Below are 19,289 nucleotides of genomic sequence, written 5' to 3'. Positions count from 1 at the left end.
GCAATTTACTCCCACCTTTAACTCAGACTGGATAAAATGATCTCGTGTTCCAGAGCACCCTCCTTACCTTCCTATTTACTCTTTGCCTATCTATCCCTCCTGCTTCCTTGGACACCTCATACAATTGCCCCTCCCCTTCCCCTAGCTCCTAATTACCTGTACAAGACTCTCAACTTAACCCACTCTCTGTTAAACCAGTCCAATCCTTCCCTGGCAAATGACTGTTGGCTTTGTAGCTCTCTATCCGTCAGCGCAGAGCCATACAACTAATACCCCTACTTATAGGGTTAGGAACAGCTATGGCTACAGAAACCAGAATAGCCAGTTTATCTACTTCATTATGCTACTACCACAGACTCTCAAAGGATTTCTCAGACAGTTTGCAAGAAATGACGAAATCTATCCTTACTCTACAATCCCAAATAGACTCTTTGGCATCACTAACTCTCCAAAACTGCTGAGACCTAGACCTCCTCACTGCTGAGAAAGGAGGACTCTGCACCTTCTTAGGGTAAGAGTGCTGTTTTTACACTAACCAGTCAGCGATAGTACAAGATGCCACCCGGCGTTTATAGGAAAAGGCTTCTGAAATCAGACAGTGCCTTTCAAACTCTTATACCAGCCTCTGGAGTTGGGCGACAAGGCTTCTCCCCTTTCTAGGCCTCCTGACAGCCATCTTGCTATTACTCGCCTTCGGGCCCTGTGTTTTAACATCCTTGTCAAATTTGTTTCCTCTAGTATCGAGGCCATCAGTCTATAGATGGTCTTACAAATGGAACCCCAAATGAGCTCAACTAACAACTTCTACCAAGGACCCCTGGATTGACCCACTGGCCCTTTGGCTGGCCTAGAGAGTTCCCCTCTGGAGGACACTACCACAGCAGGGCCCCTTCTTCGCCCCTAACCAGCAGGAAGTAGCTATAGCGGTCATCACCCAATTCCCAACAGCAGTTGGGGTGTCCTGTTTAGAGGGGGGATTGAGAGGTGAATCCAGCTGGACTTCCTGGGTCGAGTGGGGACTTGGAGAACTTTTCTGCCTAGCTAGAGGATTGTAACTGCACCAATCAGCGCTCTGTGTCTAGCTAAAGGATTGTAAATGCACCATCAGCACTCTGTAAAAAACGCACCAATCAGCACTATGTGTATAGCTAAAGGATTGTAAACGCACTAATCAGCACTCTGTAAAAATGCACCAATCAGTGCTCTGTGTCTAGCTAAAGGATTGTAAACGCACCAATCAGCACTCTGTAAAAATACACCAATCAGCGCTCTGTGTCTAGCTAAAGGATTGTAAATGCACCAATCAGCACTCTGTAAAAATGCACCAATCAGCACTCTGTAAAAACACACCAGTCAGCACTCTGTGTCTAGCTAAAGGATTGTAAATGCACCAATCAGCACTCTGTAAAATGGCCCAATCAGCACTCTGTAAAATGGGCCAATCAGCTCACTGTAAAGTGGACCAATCAGCAGAATGTGGGCAGGGCCAAATTATGGAATAAATGCTGGCCACTGGAGCCAGCAGCGGCAACCCGTTCGGGTCCCCTTCCACATTGTGGAAGATTTGTTCTTTTGCTGCTGCTCACTCTTTGGGTCCACGCCACCTTTTATTTTTTATTTTTTGATGGAGTCTTGAACTGTCGCCCAGGCTGGAGTACAGTGGCGCTATCTCAGCTCACTGCAAGCTCTGCCTCCCAGGTTCATGCCATTCTCCTGCCTCAGCCTCCTGAGTAGCTGGAACTACAGGTGCCCACCACCACGCCCGGCTAATTTTTTATATTTTTAGTAGAGATGGGGTTTCACTGTGTCAGCCAGTATAGTCTTGATCTCCTGACCTCATGATCCGCCCACCTCAGCCTCCCAAAGTGCTGGGATTACAGTCATGAGCCACCATGGCTGGCTGGGTCTGCACCACCTTTAAGAGCTGTGACACTCGCCACAAAGATCCATGGCTTCACTCCTAAAGTCAGCAAGACCACAAATCCACTGGAAGGAAGAAACTCCAGACACATCTTAACATCTGAAGGAACAAACTCCGGACACACCATCTTTAAGAGCTGTAACACTCACCACTAAGGTCTGCGGCTTCATTCCTGAAGTCAGCGAGACCAAGAACCTGCTGGAAGGAATAAATTCTGGACACAAATCTACTGCGGCACTACCAGCTGTGGTGGGGGACAGGCATTGTACACAGATGAGGGAATTGCCTGAGCCGGAAATGCCCCAGTTTGGAACAGGGCCCGGGACGGGACCCTCATGGCATTTCCCGAATTTAAAAGGAAAAGGCTCAAATGTAGCTATAATATTTCCCTGTTGATCTGTGGGGTGTATCCTAACAGAGAACTGCCAAGCCTCTATATCACCCTCTTGTCTAGCTTGCTGAATTCCTGCCTGAATAGAACTGAGAGCAGTTGCTCAAGGTGCTGCTCAGTCACTGGGGCAACCACTTTTCACCCAGTGTCCTCCGGAAAAGAAAGATCTGGAGGCTCAGGCCACTCTTTTTCTTCAAAATAAGGAGGGGGTGCAGAAGGGTAGGGATGAAACTCTTCCTCCTTTGCCACTTTAGCTTTAGCTGGCAAGCAAACCTGCTCCATTACCTCTTCTATTACTTTGTTATACTTTCCTTCCTCCTCATCATTAGTATGAAAGGTTCCAAGGTGGAACGAACCAGAGCCCACACTTGTCCCATTGTTACCCTGATGCTTCCGAGCTCCCCTTCTTACTCACCACAGGGATTGCTTAAGAGTACTCAGGTGTCCTCCAGCTTAGCTCTACGTTTTCCAACCATTGCTCTGGTGACCCTTCGGCCAGGGTTCGAGCCCCACGTATGGGCACCACTTGCTGAGACCAGCTCGGTTGTGGAGACCCTAACCCAGCGGCACTAGAAGAATTAAAGACACACACACAGAAATATAGAGTGTGGAAAGGGAAATCAGGGGACTCACAGCCTTCAGAGCTGACAGCCCCGAACAGAGTTTGACCCACATATTTATTGACAGCAAGCCAGTGATAAGCATTATTTCTATAGATTATATATTAACTAAAAGTATTCCTTACGGGAAACAAAGGGATGGGCCAAAACAAAGGGATGGACTCTGGCTAGTTATCTGCAGCAGGAACATGTCCTTAAGGCACAAATCATTCATGCTATTGGTTGTGGTTTAGGATTGCCTTTAAGCAGTTTTCTGCCCTGGGTGGGTGAGGTGTTCCTTGCCCTCATTCCGGTAAACCCACCACCTTCAGCGTGGGCGTCAAGGCCATCATGAACATGTCACACTGCTGTGGAGATTTTGTTTTTGGCCAGTTTTGAGGCCCGTTTATGGCCAGACTTGGGGGCCTGTTCCCAACAATGGGGTTTCACCATGTTGGCCAGGCTGGTCTCAAACTCCTGACCTCAAGTGATGCATCCGCCTCAGCCTTCCAAAGTGCTGGGATTACAAGCATGAGCCTCTTATTTTTTATTTATTCATTTTTTGAGACAGGATCTTGCTCTGTCACCCAGGCTGGAATGCAATGGCATGATCCCATCTCACTGCAACCTCTGCTCAGGTGATCCTCCCAACTCAGCCTCCCTAGTAGGCATGCATCACCACGCCCAGCTAATTTTTTTATTTTTTGTAGAGACAGGGTTTTGTCATTGTAAGGTACACGGATGTGCTTTAGTCAAGGAATAGGCCGAGGCAGATATCCAGGCCTGCATGACTCAGCAAGTTTGGCATGCAAGCACATAACTCCACTTGTTATATAACCTGTTTGTGTAAGTTCATACTTGGCTCTATGCCACTATTGTCTGAAAAAGGTATAACTGCAGCCAAGAGCAGTGGCTCACGTCTATAATCCCAGCACTTTGAGAGGCCAAGGTGGGCGGATCATAAGGTCAGGAGTTTGAAATCAGCCTGGCCAACATGGTGAAATCCCATCTCTACTAAAAATACAAAAATTAGCCGGGTGTGGTGGCATGTGCTTGTAATCCCTGCTACTTGGGAGTCTGAGGCAAGAGAATCACTAGAACCCAGAAGGCAGAGGCTGCAGTGAGCCAAGATTGCATCCACTGCACTCCAGCCTGGGCAACAGAGCAAGACTATCTCAAAAAAAAAAAAAAAAAAAAAAAAGGTATTAACTGTCCTGCTGACACTGTACAGGGGTCTCTTGGGGGCTTGGCTTGGCTCAGCTCAACATGGCTTGACATGGTGGGCATGCTGGCACCCAGAGAAAGAGAGAGAGAGAGCCGGAGCTGTCCTTCTTTGCAGACGGAGAGGTGGGAACCAGGATACACCTCAGCTTGCTTGTGCCCAGAGAAAGAGTTAAGCTGCTGACCCTGAAGGGAAGGGAGAGCCAGCTGCGCAGCTGCTCATGGGGGCAGCCAGCTCAAGCAGCCAAGACAGCAGGGCGGAGAGTGTGAGAGTAAGCTGCTAATAAGAAAGCCAGTGTGAGAGTAAGCTGCTAATGAGAAAGCTGCAGAATAAAACCATATTCATCTGCCTACAGACCCCCAAATGTTCTTTCTGCTTATCCACCCACTCCCCTTGGACTTCAGCATGGGCTGGACCCAGACCCGGGAACTGACAGTCATGTTGCCCAGGCTGGTCTCTATTACCATCTGAGCTCTGCCTTCTGTCAGATCAGTACCAGTATTAGATTCTAACAGGAGCACAAACCCTATTGTGAACTGCACATGCAAGGGATCTAGGTTGTGCGCTCCTTATGAGAATCTGATGCCTGATGATCTGTCACTGTCTCCCATCACCCACAAATGGGACCGTCTAGTTGCAGGAAAGCAAACTCAGGGCTCCCACTAATTCTACATCACAGTGAGCTGTATAATTTTTTCTTTTTTTTTTTTTTTATTATACTTTAAGTTCTAGGGTACATGTGCACAACGTGCAGGTTTATTACTTAGGTATACATGTGCCATGTTGGTTTGCTGCACCCATCAACTCCTCATTTACATTAGGTATTTCTCCTAATGCTATCCCTCCCCCAGCCCCCCAGCCCCCCACCCCCCAACCAGCCTGGTGTGTGATGTTCCCTATCCTGTGTCCATGTGTTCTCATTGTTCAACTCCCACTTGAGTGAGAACATGTGGTGTTTGGTTTTCTGTCCTTGTGATAGTTTGCTTAGAATGATGGTTTCCAGCTTTATCCATGTCCCTGAAAAGGACATGAACTCATTCTTTTTTATGGCTGCATAGTATTCCATGGTGTATATGTGCCACATTTTCTTAATCCAGTCTCTCATTGATAAACATTTGGGTTAGTTCCAAGTCTTTGCTATTGTTAACAGTGCCACAATAAATATACATGTGCATGTGTCTTTATCAGTTAATGATTTATAATCCTTTAGGTATATGCCCAGTAATGGGATTGCTGAGTCAAATGGTATTTCTATTCCAGATCCTTGAGGAATTGCCACACTGTCTTCCACAATGGTTGAACTAATGTACACTCCCACCAACAGTGTAAAAGTGTTCCTATTTCTCCACATCCTCTCCAGCATCTGTTGTTTCCTGACTTTTTAATGATCGCCATTCTAACTGGCTTGAGATGGTATCTCATTGTGGTTTTTGACTTGCATTTCTCTGACGACAAGTGATGATGAGCATTTCTGCATATGTCTGTTGGTTGCATAAATGTCTTATTTTGAGAAGTGTCTGTTCATATTCTTTGCCCACTTTTTGATGGGGTTTTTTTTCTTGTGAATTTGTTTAATTTCTTTGTAGATTCTGGATATTAGCCCTTTATCAGATGTGTAGATTGCAAAAATTTTCTCCCATTCCGTAGGGTGCCTGTTCACTCTGATGATAATTTCTTTTGCTGTGCATAGCTCTTTAGTTTAGTTAGATCCCATTTGTCTATTTTGGCTTTTGTTGCCATTGCTTTTGGTGTTTTAGTCATGAAGTCTTTGCCCATGCCTATGTCCTGAATGGTATTGCCTAGGTTTCCTTCTAGGGTTTTTATGGTGTTAGGCCTTACATTTAAGCAATTCTCGTCCCTCAGCCTCCCGGGTAGCTGGGATTACAGGAGCCCACCACCACACCCGGCTAATTTTTGTATTTTTTGGTAAAGACAAGGTTTCGCCATGTTGGCCAGGCTGGTCTCAAACTCCTGACCTCAAGCAATATGCCTGCCTCGGCCTCCCAAAGTGCTGGGATTACAGGTGTGAGCCACTGTGCCTGACCATAATTATTCTATTATATATTACAATGTAATAATAGAAACAAAGTGCATGATAAATCTAATGCACTTGAATCATTCTGAAACAATTTCTCCGTATCCTGGTCTGTGGAAAAATTGTCTTCCACAAACTGGTCCCTGTTACCAAAAAGGTTAGGGACTGCTGCATTAAAACACATACACAAATCATTCCTTTATCAAATGTTAAATTCAAAGCAATTAGATAACATATAAGTACATATTGTGAGCCAAAGAAGCCTTTATAATATTAATACTACTTGTTTCTATTTTGATATAAACATTATTATTAAAACAGAAAGAGACTCTAATAGTTCAGGATAGAGAAGGGTGATTATTTTTACTCAGAAATGAAACTAGCCCTAGTCCCATAGACAGTTGTTTTTGGATAAATGTAGAAATTGACCCTTCTCCTGTTAAAGCTTGAAACTTGCATTTGTTTATCTGAGTTTCTTCCTCAGAAAAGGACCTTCAGGCCTCTCAAAAAAGTATCAAATAACTGAAACTCACCAGATCACTGCACTAGATGCCTCCTTGCCCCTCCCTAGTTCTTGTTTTCTTACAAATTGTTACATTTCCTCCCTGCTAAATAAACCCTTAATTTTAGTCAGGGAGATGGATTTGAGGCTAAGCTCCCATCTCCTTGGCTGTAGCACCCAATTAAAGCCTTCTTCCTTGGTAATACTCCTCATCTCAGTGATTGGCTTTCTGTGTGGCGAGCAGCAGGACCTAGACTGAACCCCTGGTGTTTTGGTAACAGAAACATTCCCTGAGATAAACTAAGTAATGGGTTACAAACATATAATATGGGTAACACCATCATTGCTCAAAATAGTTCTCTATGATTTTCCTCTTGGGCCAAAGAGAATAATTAGCTAGGCTTGGTAGGCTGGGAACAGTTTTGTGAGCCTACTGAAATTATGTAGGATTTATATCTTAAAACTATGAAGGCCAGGCATGGAGTCATGCCTGTAATGCCAGCATTTTGGGAGGCTGAGGCGGTTGGATTACCTGAGGTCAGGAGTCCCAAGACCAGCCTGGCCAACATAGCGAAACCTCGTCTTTACAAAAAAACAAAAATTAGCTGGGCATGGTGGTGCATGCCTGTAATCCCAGCTACTGGGGGCGCTAAGGCAGGAGGATTGCTTGAACCTGGGAGGCAGAGGTTGCAGTGAGCCGAGATCGTGCCACTAAACTCCAGCCTGGGCAACAGAGTGAGACTCCATCTCAAAAAAAAAAAAAGAGAGAAGGCAAAAGCTTCATGACATTGGATTTGGCAATCTTGGATATGATACTGAAGGAACAAGCAGCAACAAAAACAAAAAAGTCCAACAGAGGAATTGGACTTAATGAAGATTTGCTGGGCGTGGTGTCTCATGCCTGTAATCCCAGCACTTTGGGAGGCTGAGGCGGGCAGATCACCTGAGGTCAGTTGTTTGAGATCAGACTTTCCAACATGGTGAAACCCTGTCTCTACTAAAAATACAAATATTAGCTGGGTGTGGTGGCAGGCACCTGTAATCCCAGCTACTTGGGAAGCTGAGGTGAGATAATTGCTTGAACCCAGGAGGTGAAGGTTGCAGTGAGCTGAGACCACGCCATTGCACTCCAGCCTGGGCAACAAGAGTGAAACTCCGTCTCAAAAAAAAAAAAAAAAAAAAAAAATATATATATATATATATATATATATGATCTAGAAATAAAGATAGTTTTTCACTACTCCCTATCAACTGTAAGCATTTTTTTTTTTGAGAAATTAAAAAAAACAGTGCTCTAGGTTTCTGATCGATTGATAACTTCAGGAAGGTGTTAAAGAGGAAAGAAACTATCCAGTGATAAGAGCATATAATAAGCAATTACAAATCCCTTAAATATACACTACTTCTCAGGCATACTCACTAAGTTAGCAGTGGCAAGCTTATTGCAGGATGGTAGACACCAGTGTAAGTACCTTAGTGGAGTAGTTGAGAGGACAATACCTCAATGAGCCTTGTCAATACCTAGAGTGCCTCTTAATCTCCACAGTACCCATAAACTGCACTGTACAACTGAACATATATCTGAACATCATCTCGATTTTGCTCCTTGCTATTTCAGTAGCAGTTGCCGCAACTGGACTGAGTGTCCAGATGTTGGACCTTCTCTGACACTAACAGGCCCAATGCTAGATACAAAGTCATTCCTCAGTTAACACACAGAGCTGGATTCATACCACTTTTGTAATGGACAGAATAAAAAAAGCACAAGAAGATACAGCAGATACAGAAGAGATGAAGAGAAGAAGAGTCTGTATGAGGTACCTCTGAGAGGTGACAGCATGCTGGCAGCCCTCGCTTGCTCTCGGAGCTTCCTTGGCCTTGGCGTCCACTCTGGCCATGCTTGAGGAGCCCTTCAGCCTGTCGCTGCACTATGGGAGCCCCTCTCTGGGCTAGCCGAGGTCAGAGCCAGCTCCCTCTGCTTGCAGGGAGGTGTGATGGAGAGGCACGGGCAGAAACCAGGGCTGCGCATGCACTTGCGGGCCAGCTCGAGTTCCAGGTGGGCATGGGCTTGGCAGGCCCTGCACTCAGAGCAGCCAGCCTGCGCCGCTGGCCCCAGGCAGTGAGGGGCCTAGCACCTGGGCCAGCAGCTGTGGAGGGTGCACCGGGTCCTCCAGCAGTGCCGGCCCACCATGGGCTCCTACGTGGCCCCAGCCTCCCTGACTAGCACTGCCCCCTGCTCCGTGGTGCCCGGTCCCATCGACCACCCAAGGGCTGAGGAGTGTGGGCACATGGTGTGGGACTGGCAGGCAGCTCCGCCTGCGGCCCCAGTGCAGGATCCACTAGGTGAAGCCAGCTGGGCTCCTGAGTCTAGTGGGGACTTGGAGAAACTTTATGTCTAGCTAAAGGATTGTAGATACACCAATCAGCACTCTGTGTCTAGCTCAAGGTTTGTAAATGCACCAATCAGCACTCTGTATCAGCTAATCTGGTGGGGACTTGGAGAACCTTTATGTCTAGCTAAGGAATTGTAAATACAACAATCAGCACTCTGTGCCTAGCTCAAGGTTTGTAAATGCACCAATCAGTGCTCTGTGTCTAGCTAATCTAGTGGGGACTTGGAGAACCTTTATGTCTAGCTAAGGGATTGTAAATACAACAATCAGCACTCTGTCTAGCTCAAGGTTTGCAAACACGCCAATCAGCACCCTGTGTCTAGCTCAAGGTTTGTAAATGCACCAATCAGTGCTCTGTGGGGACTTGGAGAACTTTTGTGTCTAGCTCAGGGATTGTGAACACACCAATCAGCACCCTGTCAAAACGGACCAATCAGCTCTCTGTAAAACAGACCGATCAGCTCTCTGTAAAATGGACCAATCAGCAGGATGTGGGTGGGGCCAGATAAGGGAATAAAAGGAGGATGCCCGAGCCAGCAGTGGCAACCAGCTCCGATCCTCTTCCACACTGCGGAAGATTTGTTCTTTCACTCTTTGCAATAAATCTTGCTCCTGCTCAATCTTTGGGTCCGCACTGCCTTTATGAGCTGTTAACACTCACCGCAAAGGTCTGCAGCTTCACTCCTGAGCCAGCAAGACCCCAAACCCACCAGAAGGAAGAAACTCCAAACACATCCAAACATCAGAAGGAACAAACTCTGGACATGCCGCTTTTAAGAACTGTAACACTCACCGCAAGGGTCTTTGGCCTCATTCTTGAAGTCAGTGAAACCAAGAACCCACCAATTCTGGACACACTTCCATTATTATAACCTGATGGGAAGGGAACCCTCTTTTTTTTTTTTTTTTTGAGATTGAGTCTCACTCTGTTGCCCAGGCTAGAGTGCAGTGGCGCAATCTCAGCCCACCACAAGCTCCGCCTCCCAGGTTCAAGCAGTTCTCCTGCCTCAGCCTCCCCAGTAGCTGAGATTACAGGTGCACACCACCTTGCCTGGCTACTCTTTGTATTTTTTTTTTTAGTGGAGATGGGGTTTTGCCACGTTGGCCAAGCTAGTCGTGAACTCCTGATCACCTCAGGTGATCCACCCACCTGGGCCTCTCAAAGTGCTGGGATTATAGGCGTGAGCTACCATGCCTGACCAGGAACCCATTTTCTATGAAATCAATGAAACTGGAAAATCCTTTTTTTTTTTTTTTTTTTTGAGACGGAGTCTCGCTCTGTCGCCCAGGCTGGAGTGCAGTGGCGCAATCTCGGCTCACTGCAAGCTCCACCTCCCAGGTTCACGCCATTCTCCTACCTCAGCCTCCTGAGTAGCTGGGACTATAGGCACCCGCCACCATGCCCGGCTAAATTTTTTTGTATTTTTAGTAGAGACGGGGTTTCACCGTGTTAGCCAGGATGGTCCTGATCTCCTGATCTTGTGATCTGCCCACCTTGGCCTCCCAAAGTGCTGGGATTACAGGTGTGAGCCATCATGCCCGGCCAGAAAATCCTCTTAAGGATCAGACAATATAACCAGAAAACTTACCCAGAGCCTGAAGGAATACTGAGCATCTCTTTGATATTCCAGACATTAAAATTCATTTCTTATAGTTATACCTATTAGAAAGAATAGGTGAATATTAAGAAAGTTAACAGTATAATTTTTTCCAAAGATTACTAGTGACTATTATATGTACACGAAGACATTCCAGCAGCTATATTCCCATCCAATTAGTGAAAATTTCTGTTTTTTTTTTTTGAGACGGAGTTTTGCTCTTGTCACCCAGTCTGGAGTGCCGTGGCTCGATCTTGGCTCACTGCAACCTTTGCCTCCTAGGTTCAAGCAATTCTTCTGAGTAGCTGGGATTACAAGCACCCGCCACCACACCTGGCTAATTTTTGTATCATGCCACTGTCTCAAAAAAAATAAGTAAATAAATAGAAACACAAAACCATTTATATTTGCACCCCCAAAAAAGAAATACTTAGGTATAACTGTGACAAAATATATACAATATCTATATGAGGAAAACTACAAAACTCTGATGACAGAAATCAAATTAGAACTAAATGGAAGCCGGGCGCAGTGGCTCACGCCTGTAATCCCAGCACTTTGGGAGGCCGAGGAGGGCGGATCACTAGGTCAGGAGATCAAGACCATCGTGGCTAACAGGGTGAAACCCCGTCTCTACTAAAAAATACAAAAAATTAGCCAGGCGTGGTGGTGGGTGCCTGTAGTCCCACCTACTCAGGAGGCCGGGGCAGGAGAATGGCATGAACACAAGAGGTGGAGCTTGCAGTGAGCCGAGATCGCGCCACTGCACTCCAGCCTGGGCGACAGAGCGAGACCCCAGCTCAAAAAAAAAAAAAAAAAAACTAAATGGAGAGGCCAGGAGCAGTGGCTCACATGTGTAATCCCAGCACTTTGGGAGACCGAGGCGGGTGGATCACTAGGTCAGGAGATCCAGACCATCCTGGCTAACATGGTGAAACCCTGTCTCTACTAAAAATACAAAAATTACCTGGGTGTGGTGGGACGTGCCTGTAGTCCCAGCTATTTGGGAGGCTGAGGCAGGAGAATTGCTTGAACCCAGGAGGCAGAGGTTGCAGTGAGCCAAGGTCACACGACTGCACTCCAGCCTGGGGCGACAGAGTGAGACCCCATCTCAAAAAAAAAAAAAAAAAGCCGGGCGCAGTGGCTCACGCCTGTAATCCCTGCACTTTGGGAAGCAGAGGCAGGTGGATCATTTGAGGTCAGGAGTTTGAGAACAGCCTGGCCAACATGAAGAAACCCTGTCTCTACTAAAAATACAAAAAAATTAGCTGGGTGTGGTGGCGGGTGCCTGTAATCCCAGCTACTCAGGAGGTTGAGGAGGAGAATCACTGGAACCGGGGAGGCAGAGGTTGCAGTGAGCCAAGATCGTGCCACTGCACTCCAGCCTGGGCGATCGAGTGAGACTCTGCCTCAAAAAAAAAAAATTAGCAGGGTGTGGTGGCACAAGCCTATAGTCCCACCTACTTGGGAGGCTGAGATGGGAGGATCACTTGAGCCCAAGAGGTCAAGGCTGTAGTGAGCTAAGATTGTGCCACTATACTCCAGCTTGGGCGACGAAGAAAAAAAAAATCTCAAAAAATTATCTCTCAAACTATGTCAAAAAATTAAAAATAAAAAATTTAAATAAATAAACAAGCTAGGCATGGCAACATACACCTGTAGTCTCAGCTACTTGGGAGGCTGAGGCGGCAGGATCACTTGAGCCCAGGAATTCAAGGCTTCTGTAAACTGTGATCCCACCACTGCATTCCAGCCCAGGCAACAAAGCAAGACCCTGTCTCTTAAAAAAAAAAAAAAAGAAAGAAAGAAAGAGGCTGGGTGCGGTGGCTCATGCCTGTAATCCCAGCACTTTGGGAGGCCAAGGCAAGTGGATTACGAGGTCAGGAGATCGAGACTATCCTGGTTAACACGGTGAAACCCTGTCTCTACTAAAACAATATAAAAAATTAGCCGGGCATGGTGGTGGGCTCCTGTAGTCCCAGCTACTTGGGAGGCTGAGGCAGGAGAATGGCATGAACCCGGGAGGCAGAGCTTGCAGTGAGCCGAGATCACACCACTGCACTCCAGCCTGGGCGACAGTGCAAGACTCCTTCTCAAAAAAAAAAAGACATGTCATTTGCTTTTTGCAAATACATATAAACCTCAAAATACCTTATACTCATGGAATTAGAAATACAAGCCTTTTTTTTTTTTAGATGAAGTCCCACTCTGTCACGCAGGCTGGAATGCAGTGGTGTTATCTTAGCTAACTGCAACCGCTGCCTCCCGGGCTCAAGCTATTCTCCTGCCTCAGCCTCCTGAGTAGCCGCAATTACAGGCATGTGCTGTCACTCCTGGCTAATTTTTTTTTTTTTTAAGTAGAGACAGGGTCTCACCATGTTGACCAGGTTGGGCCGAACTCCTGACCTCAAGTGATCCACCTGCCTTGGCCTCCCAAAGTGCTGGGATTACAGGCGTAAGCCACTGTGCCCAGCCAGAAATGCAAGCATTTAAAAGGCCCTTATAGTTCCAGGTATCTGACAGTGTGCCAGCATCAAAGGGGTGAGTCTAAGGAGGTCCTGTATGACTAGAAGGTAAAAAAGGTAGTCTCTCTCAGTCTACATGACCAAACTCCCCCCTTAATGTTGAGAATGAAACCAGCAACTCCAGTTAACTGGATTAAACAGGAGAGATTCAATATATGTGTGGTAGAAGATGAAGTAACATTTCTTCCTTTTGATTAGTTATCCTGCCTTTACTTGTGCAGCATGTCTGTGTTTACCACATGGTTTACCCAAGCCTGAGATGTCCATCTTCCCAGAATTCAACCAGAAGAAAGATGTCCTACAAAGGTCAGGAAGCTGTCAATTATATTCAGTCATGACTGTTCAACCCCTACCACACAAGAGGTCTTTAGATCATCCAATTTTATACTTTCTATGAAGTATGGAGTTTTCCAATGGTTTACATAAAAAGTACACTGTTCCTTGCTCTTGAGTGGATCAAGCCCCATGTACCCTCTCTGTTGGTAGTGGATTTTGAGATGTCGATGTTTAGATTTACAAAGGTTGCAACTCTGGACAGCATAAGTGGGGAAAACAGAATAGGAGCAAAGTAAGCAAGTTCTTTGTTAGCTGAATAAAGATAAAAAAAACACATAGAGGTGATTATGGGTCAAATTAGCAAAATATGGCTAAGGGTGATTTCTCAGGATGGAAAGCAAACTCTCTTCCCTCAGGCATTAGGTCTCTGACCTTGAGTCCTAGGGCAGCAGTTCCCAACCTTTTTGGCACCAGGGACAAGTTTTGTGGAAGACAATTTTTCCATGGACATTGGTTGCGGGTGGGGTTGGGGATGGTTTCAAAATGAAATTGTTCCACCTCAGATCATCAGGCATTAGAGTCTCATAAGGAGTGCACAACCTAGATCCCTTGCATGTGCAGTTCACAATAAGGTTCATGCACACTCCTATGAGAATCTAATGCTGCCACTGACCTGACAGGAGATAGAGCTCAGGCTGGCCCACTGCTCACCTCCTGCTGTGTGGCCTGGTTCCTAACAAGCCATGGACTGACTGGTACTGGTCCGGGGCCTGGGTGTTGGAGACCCCTGTTCTAGGGAACTAAATTGCATTGTAATGGAGGTCTGCTTATTCCACAGTGGCAGAAAGAAATAACTGTGTGCAGAGCAAGAACACACAGAAAAGCATGTTTCCCTTAAGAGATACAAGTTATTGCTAAACCCAAACTGATTTAGAAATATTATATGTAGAAATTTGGCCGGGCACAGTGGCTCACGCCTGTAATCCCGGCAGTTTGGGAGGCCGAGGCGGGCGGATCAAAAGGTCAGGAGATCGAGACCATCCTGGCTAACGTGGTGAAACCCCGTCTCTACTAAAAATACAAAAATTAGCCAGGCGTGGTGGCAGGCGCCTGTAGTCCCAGCTACTCAGGAGGCTGAGGCAGGAGAATGGCATGAACCCACGAAGCGGAGCTTGCAGTGAACCGCGATCGCACCACTGCACTCCACCATGGGTGACAGAGCGAGACTCCATCTCAAAAAAAAAAAAAAGAAATATTATATGTAGAAATTAATAAAGGAATCATGAGGACTATTTTTATTTAAGGAAAAGGCTAGAAATTTTTAAACGTTTACAAGGGCTGAAAAACAGACATTTCTTTAGAAACAATCACAATTTTGAATAATGGCAGACTAAGGTATGCTACAAATTATATTGCAGAATACCTGGTTAATATTCCAGTATTAAATCGGCAGCTTCTAAAATATGCAGCATGAGTTACAAGGACTAAAACTCACCAGATCACACCTGTAATCCCAGCACTTTGGGAGGCCGAGGTGGGCAGATCACAAGGTCAAAAGATTGAGACCCTCCAGGCCAACATGGTGAAATCCTGTCTCTACTAAAAATACAAAAATTAGCTAGGCGTGGTGGCATGCACCTGTAGTCCCAGCTACTCGGGAGGCTGAGGCAGGAGAATCCCTTGAACCTGGGAGGCAGAGTTTGCAGTGAGCCGAGATCACACCACTGCACTCCCACCTAGAGACAGAGTGAGACTCCGTCTCAAAAAAAAAAAAAAACCTCACCAGAAAGAAAAAAATGCTCCGAGAACACAGGGCTGGCTGATGCATGATCTAGTTTCAACATGAAACAAGGTAATAATATAACCGGTCATCAAGTAACAAACTAAAGCAGATGAGCTTGGCTTTTCCTACCCACTCTCATCTGTCCACCTGTATTCCACACATTTTTTGTCAGAGGCTTTTTTTTTTTTTTTTTTTTGAGACAGAGTCTTGCTCTGTCACCCAGGCTGGAGTGCAATGGCACGATCTCGGCTCACTGCAACATTTGCCTCCTGGGTTCAAGCAATTCTCCTGCCTCAGCCTCCCAAGTAGTTGGGATTACAGGCATCTGCCACCACACCTAGCTAATTTTTGTATTTTTAGTAGACACAGGGTTTCACCATGTTGGCCAGGCTGGTCTTGAACTTCTGGGTCTTGAACTTCTGACCTCAGGTGATCCACCTGCCTTGGCCTCCCAAAGTGCTGAGATGACAGGTGTGTGCCACTGCATCCAGCCTGTCAGAGGCATTTGAACCAGAGCAACTCTATCTTGAGTAGGGGCTAGGTAAAATGAAGCTGGGACCTGAGCTGCATTCTCAGGAGATTAGGCATTCTTAGTCACAGGATGAGATAGGTCAGCAACGATACAGGTCACAAAGGCCCTGCTCATCACAAAAAATGCAAGAAAGTAGCTGTTCAAAACCCGCCAAATCCAAGATGGCAATTAAAGTGACCTCTGGGCCGGGTGCAGTGGTCATGCCTGTAATCCCAGCACTTTGGGAGGCCGAGGTGGGTGGATCACTTGAGGTCAGGAGTTCGAGACCAGCCTGGCCAACATGGTGAAACCCCATCTCTATTAAAAATACAAAAATGGCCGGGAGCGGTGGCTCACGCCTGTAATCCCAGAACTTTGGGAGGCCGAGGTGGGCGGATCACGAGGTCAAGAGTTCAAGACCAGCCTCACCAATATGGTGAAATCCCATCTCTACTAAAAATACAAAAATTGCTGGGCGCAGGGGCTCATGCCTGTAATCCCAGCACTTTGGGAGGCCGAGGCGGGTGGATCATGAGGTCAGGAGATCGAGACCATCCTGGCTAACATGGTGAAACCCCGTCTCTACTAAAAATACAAAAAAATTAGCCAGGCATGGTGGTGGGCGCCTGTAGTCCCACCTACTCGGGAGGCTGAGGCAGGAGAATGGCGCGAACCCAGGAAGTGGAGCTTGCAGTGAGCCGAGATCGCGCCACTGCACTCCAGCCTGGGAGACAGAGCGAGACTCCGTCTCAAAAAGAAAAAAAAGAAAGAAAGAAAAGAAAAAAAAATACAAAAATTAGCTGGACGTGGTGGCACGTGCCTGTAGTCCCAACTACTCAGGAGGCTGAGGCAAGAGAATTGCTTGAACCCAGGAGGTGGAGGTGGCAGTGAGCCGAGATTGCGCCACTGCACTCCAGCCTGGGCGACAGAGCAAGACCCCATCTCACAAAAAAAAAAAAAAAAAAATTGCCCAGGCGCAGTGGCTCACTCCTGTAATCCCAGCTACTCAGGAGGCTGACGCAGAAGAAAAGCTTGAACCAGGAGGTGGAGGCTGCAATGAGCTGAGATTGTGCCACTGTACTCCACACTCCAGCCTGGGTAACAGAGCAAACTCTGTCTCAAAAAAAAAAAAAAAATTACGGCCAGGCATAGTGGTTCACGCTGTAATCGCAGCACTCGAGGTCAGCAATTCGAGACCAGCCTGGTCAACATGGTGGAACCCCATCTCTACTAAAAATATACAAAAATTCACCAGGCGTGTTGGTACGCGCCTGTAATCTCAGCTCCTCAGGAGGCTGAGGTAGGAGAATCGCTTGAAACCAGAAGGCAGAGGTTGCAGTGAGCAGAGATTGTACCACGGCACTCCAGCCTGGGTGACAGTGTCTCAAAAAAAAAAAAAAAGTGACCTCTGGTCGCCCTCACCGCATATCATAGCTAATTATAACGCATTAGCATGCTAAAAAGACACTCCAACCAGCGCTATGACAGTTTACAAATGCCATGGCAATATCCAGAAGTTACCCTATATGATCTAAAAGGAAGAGGAAACCTGTTCTTGGAAATCTCCACCCCTTTCCCAGAAAATTGATGAATAATCCACCCCTTGTTTAGCATATGATCAAGAAATAACCATAAAAATAGCCAACCAGCCGCTTTTGGGACTGCTCTATGGAGTAGTCATTCCTTTCGTTCTTTTTTTTTTTTTGAGATGGAGTCTTGCTCTGTTGCCCAGGCTGGAGTGCAGTGGCACGATCTCGGCTCACTGCAACCTCCGCCTTCCGGGTTCAAGTGATTCTCCTGCCTCAGCCTCCTAAGTAGCTGGGACTACAGGCACCTGCCACCACGCCCGACTAATTTTTTGTATTTTTTTTTAGTAGAGATGGGGTTTCACCATATTGGCCAGGCTGATCTTCAACTCCTGACCTTGTGATCTGCCCACATCAGCCTCCCAAAGTGCTGGGATTACAGGCGTGAGCCACCACGCCCGGCCCAGTTCTTTACTTTCTTAATAAACTTGCTTTCACTCTACTCTGTAGACTTGCTCCAAATTTTCTTGTGAGACATCCAAGAACCCCTTCTTGGAGTCTGGACTGGGACCCCTTTCTGGTAACATCTTCCCCAACAAAGCATCATTTCATCTGCCTTACTTTCCTCCATAAGCTCTCAGAAAAAGCCCCTTTCAGATTACAGCTCCTCATCACCAAAATTCTTTCAGAAGGAAAGTATAAAATTTTGGGGGGATCCCTTCACATAACTAGTAATCATTAACCTCAGTTAAGGGAACTACAGTTGTCCCTCTGCATATGTGGAGGATTGGTTCCAGGACACAGCCCGACCCCAACAATATACCAAAATCCACATACACTCAAGTCCAGAAGCCAGCCCTGCAGAACTAGTATATATGAAAAACTGGCCCTCCATATATGCAGCTTTCACATGCTGAACCCACGTAGCTGAATGCTATGTTTTAAATGTCCCCTCCAAAAACTTATGTTGAAATTTAATTACCATTGTGATAGTATTAAGAGGTAGGACTGTTAAGAGGTGATTAGGCCATGAGGACTCCAGCCTCATGAATAGATTAATGTAAGTGGGTAAACCGGAGTGCATTCAGAAGTGAGTTCATTATCACTAGAGTGGGTTGTTATAAAAGTGAGCTCCAGATACTGGTACCTTGATATTGAACTTTCTAGCCTCAAAAACTGTGAGAAATAAATTTATTTAAATCACCTAGCTGTGATATTCAGTTATAGCAACACAAAACGGACTAAGACAATGTTCAAAGCCAAGATCCTCATAACTTCCCCTAAGCACTCTCCTCCTGTGGTCTTCCCATTTTATTTAAGGACACTTCCATCTTCCAGGTGCTCAGGCCAAAATCTAAGTCCTCCTCAATTCCCTTTTCTTAGTCTCACATCCAATCTGTCAGCAAATACTATACTAATTCCTTCAAAATATATCTAGAATTTGACCACTCCTCACTCCCTCCTTTCTGGCAACTGGAGGTTGCCAGATAAAATAGAATACCAAGTAAAATTTGAATTTCCCAATGTTACATGAGACATACAAAAAATATTGTTTACCTTAAATTCAAATTTAACTGGGTGTCCTGTATTTTTATTTGCTAAATGCGGCAACCCTACTCCACTGCCACCAGCCTGGATTATTGCAATGGCCTCCTAACCACTCTCCCTGATTTCACCCTTGTCCCACTCCAGTCTCTTCCCTACAAAGCAGCCAGAGTTACAGTAACCTTAAGTCAGATCACATAGTCCTTCTGCTCAAATCCTCCACTGCTCTTACCCTACACAAAATAAAAGCCAGAATTATCTATGATTACCTACAGGGGCATCTGTAATCTCCCCATAGCCCTCCACCATTCCCATCTATACCCTGTTGCATGCCTCTTATGGGGCTCCTCACTGTTGTTTTCCCTTGCTGGGCACAAGCAGTTTCATGTCGCTTTTGCGTGCTGCACCCTCATTTTGGTGCACTCCTCCCTCAGATATCAGCATGACAGACAACTCTATCTC

General features: G+C 46.2%; 1 protein-coding gene across 8 annotated transcripts in view; it reads right to left on the bottom strand.

Moving 5' to 3' along the window:
• Window positions 1-19,289, bottom strand: part of IHO1 (interactor of HORMAD1 1) — a 66,798-nt gene that overhangs the window by 35,618 nt on the left and 11,891 nt on the right. For 5 of the 8 annotated variants that reach the window (XM_011533672.3, NM_178173.4, NM_001135197.2 and 2 more), the window contains one exon: window positions 10,653-10,723. In XM_011533672.3, the coding sequence (XP_011531974.1) occupies window positions 10,653-10,708 (56 nt within the window). In that variant the 5' untranslated portion in view covers window positions 10,709-10,723. Of the gene's footprint in view, window positions 1-8,491; window positions 8,649-10,652; window positions 10,724-14,957; window positions 15,059-19,289 lie in introns of those variants that run through there. The other 3 variants (XM_047448068.1, XM_011533670.3, XM_011533671.3) reach the window with 3 other exon arrangements.

This window comes from Homo sapiens, chromosome 3 (assembly GCF_000001405.40).
Source record: "Homo sapiens chromosome 3, GRCh38.p14 Primary Assembly".
Lineage (NCBI taxonomy): Eukaryota > Metazoa > Chordata > Mammalia > Primates > Hominidae > Homo > Homo sapiens.
Note: the sequence above shows the minus strand (reverse complement) of the source record. Positions and strands in the feature narration are given on the sequence as shown.